Source organism: Homo sapiens, chromosome 7 (assembly GCF_000001405.40).
Source record: "Homo sapiens chromosome 7, GRCh38.p14 Primary Assembly".
NCBI classification, from domain to species: Eukaryota; Metazoa; Chordata; class Mammalia; order Primates; family Hominidae; genus Homo; species Homo sapiens.
In genome coordinates, this window is record NC_000007.14 from 86346922 (window position 1) to 86357694 (window position 10773).

Sequence of the window (10773 nt, forward strand, 5' to 3'; positions counted from 1 at the left end):
CACTGGGTTGTTGTTGTTACCTAACTGAGGGCGTAAGGTAAGAGGAGCAAGAGGATCAGAAAAATATGTTGGATATTAGGCTTGGTACCTGAGTGACAAATTAATCTATATAAAAACCCCCATGACACAAGTTTACCTATATAACAAACCTACACATGTACCGTGAACCTAAAATGAAAATTAAAAAAAATACTAAAAAGTCTTTGTTTTATATGTTATTTTTTTCTTTTTTACATGTTTTAAAAGAGAAATGTTCATATCTTCTTGTTATTTCATTATTAGAAGCAGAAATTTTCCCCCTTTTATTGAACATTTACAGAATCTTTAATAGTTCTCTCTTCACTCCAGTTTCTGGTGATTAAAAATCTTTCTTTTTAACCAAACATAAAATTCCTCCTATGTTTTCAATAATATTGTCTTCTTCTTAGTCAAACAAAACATATTTCATCATTTAATTTTTTCTTTATTTTGTTAAATATTGCCTTTTCTGTAATGACTCTATCCTCTCCACCTGTTGGTGTTTCTCTTGGTAGTTAATTAGCAATCCTTTTTTTAAGTTATCTCTTAACTTTCTGACTTACATCCCAAAAACTTTTCTAGAAGTTATTAAATGACATCACTATTTATCCTATTTCTGAAATGACATTCTGCAAGAATTTTGATTTTATTACTAGCTCATTGAGTTGGCGAATTTCCAATGCTTTTGTAGCTATATTTAAATATAATATTAGCGTTCCTGTGGCATCCATCAGATATTTCAGGCAAGTAACCATGACATGAATAATGAAATTCTAAGAAAAGAAAGAAATAGAATAATACTCAAGTCAGGGCAAGTATATCACAAAGGCTGGTAGTCCTCTATGAAGTGGGGGTGGAAAGGAAAAAGAATAGTTCTACAGATTTCTCGGTTTTGACAACCATGTTTCTGTTCAGGAAAACTTCTCTATCATCTCTCCAAGAGCTAAGAGATTTAGACTTTGGTTCAAAAATTGTCTAAGAATGTATTAGCATCTTCTTAGTTGAAATAGCTTTTCTATGATAAAATTTTTCCTTTTCACTTTGGACCTTGAAACAACCATATAATTTGTGTTCATATAAACATATATATTCTCCTGAAACTTGAATAATATCTCATTTATTTGAGTTATTTCTACTAATCTTAATGCTCCCTCTTGTGCATCATCAAATGGTACTACACTGTATTTATAAAGTTGCTATGATCAAGGGATTTCAAATGACAGCATTGGGTACCACTGATAAGCAACTGTTCCATATAATAATTGTATTAGATCATTCTCGCACTGCAATTAAGAAATACCTGACACTGGGTAATTTATAAAGAAAAGAGGTTTAACTGGCTCACAGTTACACAGGGGGTACAGGAAGCACGGTGGCAACTGCTTTTGGGGAGGCCTCAAGGAGTTTTTATTCATGGCAGAAGGCAAAGTGGAAGCAGGTATCTTTTTTGTTTGTTTGTTTGTTTGTTGTTGTTGTTGTTTTTGAGACAGAGTCTTGCTGTGTCACCCAGGCTGGAGTGTAATGGCGCAATCTTGGCTCACTGCAAGATCCGCCTCCCAGGTTCACGCCATTCTCCTGCCTCAGCCTCCCGAGTAGCTGGGACTACAGGCGCCCACCACCACTCCTGGCTAATTTTTTGTATTTTTGGTAGAGACGGAATTTCACCATGTTAGCCAGGATGGGCTCGATCTCCTGACCTTGTGATCCACCCGCCTCGGCCTCCCAAAGTGCTGGGATTACAGGCGTGAGCCACTGAGCCCAGTCAGAAGCAGGTATCTTATACAGCAGGAACAGGACCAAAGGGAGAGGGTCTGGAGGTGCCACACAATTTTAAATGACCAGATCTCATGAGAACTCACTATCACCAGAGTGGGGAAATCCACCCCCATGATCCAGTCAATTCCCACCAGGCCCCACCTCCAACATTGGGGATTACAATTCAACATGAGATTTGGTTGGGGACAGAAATAAAAACCATATCAATAGTCTTAGGATACTGGTGAGCAACTTTGGTAAGTAAATATGTTTAGATGAGCTAAGTGCTATTGAAAATAAATTAGTGAATTATGAAAAGATATATGTTTCTTCAAGGGGTTTTTAAACATATTTTTATATTGATGATGAATATAAAAACCAATCTGACTTAGTTTTTTCTATGGTAGTCTCTCTTACTTTAATTTTGTTCTTTCCTCCTTTTTTGTTCTTTTCCCTTTCTACCATTTTATTCATTTCCTTCAGTGCTATTTTCTTGTCCTTCAAATGTTGAAAAATAATATTAAATGGATTTCAGATTTAAAGATAAAACAGATCTACTGTATAATTATAACATTTTGCATTCTAAACTCATTTTGCAATTAGTTTAAATATTATTGAAATTAGTTGTGTTTTACATTTTTATGCAAAATCACTACATTCCATTATAAAATGTCTAATGAACTTTTAAAAATTACTTACAACAGCATTTCCACATTAACAGCAAATCAACATTTATTACATTCATAAGGCAAACCTAACCAATTGCTGTTATTTTATTTCTTTTCACAGAACATAGAGAAGAAAAGTCATTAACTTAGGATATTATGTGCAAAAAGGAATAAAAATATTCTCGTAGACTTAGATAAATATATTCATATCTAATTGCCTCCAGGAAAGAAAAGATTCTGGGTATGTCTTTGGCAACCTGTGTAGATTGCTTTATTCACACAGTATAATGTTCTAAAATATTCCTAGGTTGCATGAATTACTTATTTAGTTCTGACTGCAAGGTAGAATTTAAGAAGGGTACAGAAGACTGGGTGAAGGTAGAAAGGAAGAATCAAATCTCAAGTTAACAAATGGCTGTGTACGAAGATTACATAGCACAAACGATGTCTAGAGAGGGTGTGATAATTTATATGTGTATTAATTCAACTAAAATAACTAAGACCTCATTAAATGGCAGATACCTAATACTGAAGTGCTGTATGATTGATGGCATAAAAAAATACATACTTAAGAAGTCAACTGAGGTTTGGAGTAAGATTTTAGTTTAGGTGCCAAAACTTAATAAGACAGAGAATCCCAAGGAATCCAAGAGGCCTGGAGAGAAAGGGGTGAAGAATAAAACACTTATTAGTTGCCATCCTTACAGGATATTTTATATATGGATGAGTAGGAGATAATAGAAAAAGAAAGAAAATTTTCACTAATGATACCTAAATGCAAAAGAGTAGGAATCATAGTATTCTTTAGGGTAGAATTAGAGCAAAAACAAGGGTAGGTGTGGTAGGATTTTAGAAAAACCTTAGGCTATTAATTAACTTCCAAATAAAATAGTGGAAATATGTCTACTTAAGAAAAATGAAAATAAATAAACCTTAGAGTTTATTATTGTATTTGCTGAGGGAGGTGAGTATGATTAAGATTATTTGTGAATTAAATACAAATTGAAATATAAGTATTTTCAAATCATTTTGATCATTCTGCTTCCCAATGTGAATAAAATATTTAGAAATGTATACTCCTTCAAGTTTAATTATATAACAACACCATTATAGTCCATTTTTTTTCATGAAATATAATGCTGTTTGTAGTTAATAAATTGGATCCTTTAAATAATTTTAAGGGTAATTTTTATTTAATTAAAAAAGAAAAGCAAGGCTGGGCATGGTGGCTCACGCCTGTCATCCCAGCACTTTCGGGGGCCAAGGCAGGTGGATCACGAGGCTAGGAGATCAAGACCATCCTGGCCAACATGGTGAATCCCTGTCTCTACTTAAAATACAAAAATTAGCTGGGTGTGGCAGTGTGCGTCTGTAGTCCAAGCTACTCGGGAGGCTGAGGGAGAAAGGAGAATTGTTTGAACAAGATAGCTGGAGGCTACAGTGAGCTGAGATTGCGCCACTGCACTCCAGCCTGGGCAACAGAGCAAGACTCCGTCTCAAAAAATAAAAAATAAAAAAGGCAGCTAGACTTCTTGTTTCACATTCAATGTGTATAAATCTCAGAAGATGGTACTCTCTTTACAATAATAAAAGCTGGAAACACTGAAAATAAACAACTTAATGGGCCCATGAGAGAAGTGAGGTCATAAAGCAAACAGCTTACCAATATTTGGAGAGACAGAAACAGCTAACCAGAGAACTTGAGAATTATTTGTCTTGAGCAGAAGCAGGAAAGCCACAGAAATAAATCTACTGACTTCAATGGAAAATCTGAGAAATTGCTGAGACTTGAAGGTGAATTAGAATTGGTGAGAAGCTCTTAGGGACAACAATATAAATGAGTCCTCAAATTTCTGTGGGCTTTCATTCCAGGAACCCACTGGCCTTTCAGAAGGATGCTCTGAGAAAATATCCTTATGACCTTGTCAGAAGAAGAAGAGAAACCATTATGAAATTCTTCAGGAGCCTTCATAATAAAGTCTTATTTTCAAGGGAAACATCCAGAAGCTTATCCCACATGGAGAAAAGAAATTACACAACACTATATCTTCTGCATACTTTCTACCTCAAGCACAAAATTAAAATATATATATATATATAAATATATGTGTATATATATATATATATATAAAAATATATGTATATATATATAGTTAATAGGAAATAGGGCTTCAGAAAAATATAGATTGGGAATCCTAAAGCTACAACACGGAATATGAAGCAGGGGAGATAATAGTTGTATCACTGGAAGAGGGGGAGAATTGCTTGAGAAAGTCACACTCCTAAGCCACTATTAGATTGGAAAACTATTAAACCGAGATTTAATCAGAAGACTACACAGTGCTTCCCCACCCCACACCCTAACACTACACAAACAAGATTCAACTATAACAATAATGGTTTGCCATTGAAAGGGCTGCAAGATATACACTCTTTTTGAGAATCAGTGCAAAGAGAAGTCTGGAAACTAAGAAGAAGGGCAAAACGAACAGAGGTATTTGAAGCCTCTCCTATTTATAGCTAAACAGAGCCCAACTCCTAGGCAGATTAACATAAATACTCACATTATGATCTAGTTAACGGCCGGCGCAGTGGCTCACGCCTGTAATCCCAGCACTTTGGGAGGCCAAGGCAGGTGGATCACGATGTCAGGAGTTCATGACCAGCCTGACCAATATGGTGAATTCCTGTCTCTACTAAAAATACAAGAATTAGCTGGGCATGGTGCTGCCCCTGTAATCGCAGTTACTCAGGAGGCTGAGGAAGGAGAATCACTTGAACCCGAGAGGTGGAGGTTGCAGTGAGCCGAGATCATGTCACTGCACTCCAGCCTGGGCAACATAGCAAGACTCCATGAAAAAAAAAAAGATCTATTTAACACAGTACCTGTTATGGATACAACACATCCAACTTTGAAGCAAAAAAGTTATACTGTCTGGAGAAACAAAGAAATAATCTGAACCAAATTCAGATATGACACAGATATTAACATTATCAGATGAGGATTTTAAAATATTTTTTGTACACAGCAGAGAGATAACAGTGGGAAAGAGTCAAAAGAAAATACTAGAAATCAAGAAGACAGAAACAAATGAAGAATCAGTAGATTTGATACAACCAAGGAAACAGTCAGTGAACTGGAAGATCATTAATAGAAACTTTCCAAACTGAAAAGCAAAGAGAAGACAAAAATAATTAAATAAAGGCAAACATATAGAAAATGCAAGAATAGTTGGATTGTTAAAGAATATCAAAAGTTGTATGTAATCATAGTTGGAAAACCAGAAGAAGAAAGAGATAATATGGCAGAAGAAATAGTTCAAGTAATAATAGCAGAGAAGTTATAAAATTGAAGAGAAGACTTCCAGTTTCTGGGTCAGTGTGTAATGAACTTGGAAGTTGCCACTTAATCACAATAACAAGTAAAAACCTGAAGAAACTGAAAAGTCAACAACCCATCTTACATATGAAAAAGAAATGATGGGTAAAGAGAATCATAACTTAACAGAGCAAAAACCCACAAGCAGAAACAGCCATGGGAACCAGTTTGAGGTTAAGAAAATCTGAGTTATAATTTAGTGATTGGGGGAGGCTTATCATGGAGAAGTCTGAGAGCCAAAAACTCTAATGGGGCCCAGTAATCTGAACATCCACATTTTTGTGAGTTTTAGCTCCAGGGGTTCAACCAGGTTCTCACAGTGAATATATACACACACACACACACATATATATATATAAATTCACTCTTAGTTTTAATCTGGGGGGATAAAAATAACAATTTTGAAATATGCAAGAACATTATATTCTTAACAAGATTTTCCCACAGAAGAAGCTATTTAACTTTGGTTAAAGTTAACTTTTGGTTAACTTTTGCTGTTTAACTTTGGTTACTCTTAACCTGCTAGGGTTTCACCAGAGCCTAACTGACCTGGGGGAAGGGAAATACCCCAAACCAGCTGGCACTAGCTTTCCTTGTGGAGGAAAGGAAATACCCATATAAAGCCCACTCTAGCTGAGCTGTACCATGTAAAGATGGGGATTTTTTTTTTTACTCAGTCCATTATTTTTTGCTACCAAGAAATAAATGGTAGCAAAAACAAAAACAAAAAACACATTTTGAAGTAGCACAGCAAATATCACAATCAGACTCAGATATAGCAGGGATGTTGAAATTATCAAACCTAGAATTTAAAACAACCACAATTAATATGTTAAAGGGTCTTAAAACCTAGATGACGAGTTGATAAGTGCAGCAAACCACCATGGCGTATGTATACCTATGTAACAAACCTGCAAGTTCTGCACATGTATCCCAAAACTTAAAGTAAAATTTAAAAAAAAAGATGAAGAAATCCAATACAAAGATATAAAATATATAAATATATTAAGGGGTCTAAAGGATGAAGTAGATAGTGTACAACAACAGATGGACAATGTAAGCACAGAAATGGAAATTCTAAAAAAATTAAGAGGAAATAATCAAAACTAAAAACATCTGGAAATAAAAAGCACTGTAACAGAAATGAAGAATGCCTTTGTAACAGAAATGAAGAATGCCTTTGATGGACATATTAGTAGACTGAACATGTCTGAGGAAGGAATACCTAAGCTTGAGTATATGACATTAGAAACTTCCAAAATTTAAATGCAAAGAGAGAGAAAAAAAACACAAAACCACAAAGGGCAGGAAAAAAGATTGAAAAATAAAAAACAGAACAGAAAACCCAAGAACTGTGGGGCAACTACAAAAAATACAACCTGCAGGTAATGAAAATATCAGAATGAGAAAAGGAAGAAGAATAGAAGAGAAATATTTGAAGCAAAAATGACTGATATTTCTCCAAATTAATGGCAAACACTAAACTAAAGATTCAGAAAGTTCAGAGAGCACCAGGAAGGATAACTGCCAAAAATAAAACATCTACACTTAGTATATTATATTCAAATTGCAGAATATCAAAGATAATGATTTACCAATAAAGGAGCAAAAATAAGAATTACATTTAACTTCTCCTCATAAAGTGTTGAGAGAAAAACAAAAACCCCAACCAGCGTAGAATTCTACACTCTGCAAAATTATTCTTCAAAGGTGAAGAAAAAATAAAAATATTCTCAGATAAACAAAAATTGAGAGAATTTGTTGCCAGTAGACCTGCCTTGCAAGAATTTTTTTTTAAAGGCATTTAGAAAAAAGGAAAAAGATATGGGTCAGAAACTATGAACTACATAAAGAAAGAACATTAGAGAAGACATGTTAAAGTAAGATAATAACTTTTATTATCCTTATTCTAATTGTAGTTTTTAAACATATAACAGTATTTTAAAATAAGAATGATGTATTTAATTATGTATGCTTATGTCTATAAATATATATAAATGTTTATGTATACTGAGGTATACATCAGTATATATATAAATACTTCTGTATACTGAGGTATATACATCAGTATATATATATATATATAAATGCTTATGTATACTGATGCATATGTGAAATTAATAAAAGCAATGATGCAATCAATGAGAGAGAGGAATTAGAATTTTTTTTTGTATAAAGTATCCATGAAGTGTATGATGTTATTTAAAAGTGGACTTGGATTCACTGTAAATATATGTTGAAAACTCTAGAGCAACCACTTAAAAATGTAAACTAAGAACTATAACTGATATGCTAAATAAGCAGAGAAAATTGAATAATATAAAATGTTCAATTAAAACTAAAAAAGGAAGAAAAAAGTGGAAGATTAAAAAATAAAAAACAAGGGCAACAAATAGAAAAGAGTAACAAGACAGATATTTACCTAACACTATCAATAATTACATTAAATATCAAAAGTCTAAATTACAGTGACTAAATTGATTTAAAAAGACTGTCAGAGTGGATTAAAAAAACACAATATGCAACTATATGTTGCCTACAAGAAACCACCTTAAAAATAAAGACACATATAGATTAAAAGTAAATAGATGGAAAGAAATAAACCGTACTTATATTAATTTTATAAAATAGTAGTAACTACATACATTTCAGAGAAAGCATACATGAGATCAGGGAAGGTTATATGGTAAAAGAAGAGCACTACATAATGATTAAAATGATCAGTTATCCAAGAAGACAAAATAATTTCCAGTGTGTATGTGTCTAACAATATAGTGTCAAAATACAACTGTATTAGCCTGTTTTCACACTGCTGATAAAGATATACCTGAGACTGGGCAATTTACAAAAGAGAGAGGTTTAATACAGACTTACAGTTCCATGTGGCTGGGGAAGCTTCACAATCATGGCAGAAGGCAAGGAGGGGCAAGGAGGAGCAAGTCACATCTAGGAAGACAGCAGGAAAACTCCCCCTTATAGCATCATCAGATCTTGTGAGACCCATTTACTATCACTAGAACAGCACAGGAAATACCCACCCCCATGATTCAATCATCTCCCACCAAGTCCTTCCCACAGTGGGAATTATGGGAACTACAAGATGAGATTTGGGTGGGGACAAAGAATCAAACCTTATCAACATCAGACAAAAACTGATAGAAATGCAAGGAGAAATGAATGAATTCACTATTACAGTTGGAGACTTCAACTCTCCTTTATCAAAAGGGACACATTAATAGGTAGAAAATCAGTAAGGCCATAGTTTAAATAAACAACACTATCAATCAACTGGATAGAATTTATATCTATGGACTACTTCATCCAACAACAGCAGAATACGTATTCTTCTCAAGCCCACAGGAAACATTCACCAAGATAGATTACATTTTGGCTAATAAAACACAGCTGAACAATTTAAGAGAATATAAATCGAACAATTTCTGTTCTCAGATTAAAAGGGATTTGACCTAGAAATCAATAACAAAAAGATATCTGAAAAATTCCAAAATACCTAGATGTTAAACAACAAATTTCTAAATAATACCCAGGTCGAAAAAATAAATCTCATCAGATTTTTTAAAAAATTTGAACTAAATAAAAATCAAACTACAGGTCATCAAAATATGTGGCCAGCAGCAGTGGCTCACGCCTATAATTCCAACACTTTGGGAAACCAAAGGGGGAGGATCACTTGAGGCCAAGAATTTGGGACCAGCCTTGGTAATATAGCAAGACCTTATCTCTACAAAATAATAAAAAATAAAAAATATTAGCTGAGTGTGGTGGTGCATGCCTATATCCCTATCTACTGTGGAGTCTGAGGTGAGAGGATAACTTGAGCCCAGGAGTTCTACGTTGCAGTTAGCTATGATTGTATTACTTGCCTTCCAGCCTGGTGACAGAGCAAGACCCTGTCGTTAAATAATAATAATAATCAATAAAATAAAAATATATTAATTAAAATTTGTAGTCTGCAGCAAAAGCAGTGAGTAGAGGGAAATTTGTAACATTTAGTGCATGTATTTAAAAAGAATAAAGTTACAAAATTAATTATCTAAACTTCTATCTTAGAAAAACAGAAAAAGAACAAATTCATTTCAAAGAAAGCAAAAGAAAATAAATTATAAAAATTAGAATACAAATAAAGGAATTGGAAACAGTAAATCAACAGAGAAAAACATAAAACCAAAAGCTGATTGTTAAAAACATCAACTAAACCAGTAAGTCTCTAGCAAGGCTAAATAAGAGAAAAAGAGAGATGAAACAAACTACTCATATAAGGAATGAAAGAGGGGACATAACTACAGATTACATGAACATTGAAAGGATAATAAAGGAATACTAGGAGCAACTTCTTATCCACCAATTTACCTATTGGATAATATAGATAATACAGACCAATTCCTTGAAAGACACAATCTGCCAAAATTTACATGAGAAGAAATAAGCAATCTGAATAGGTCTATAGCAATTCAATAAATTCATAAATAATTCATAACCTTTGTAAAACTGGAAGCAGAGGGCCCAGATGGGTTCACTGGTAAATCCTATCTGACATTTTAAGGAAGAAATTTTACCAGTTCTCTGTGATCTCTTTCAGAAGATAGAGGCAGAGAAAATGCTTTCTAAATCATACTATGACCCAAACTTACTCTTAAAAAGAAAACAGACAGAGACATTGCAGGAAAACTATACACCAATATCTCTCATGAACATAGATGTAAAAATCAACAAGATATAAGCAAATCACATTCAACAATGTGTACAATTAATTATACACCATGACCAAATAGGATTTATCGCAAGTATGCAAAGCTGGTTCAGCATCCAAAATTCAATTAATGTAATCTATCACATCAACAGGGTAAGAAAGAAAAATCACAGAATTCTATCAATAGATATACAAAATTTATTTTGCAAAATCTAACACTCATCAAAAACTCTTAGTACACT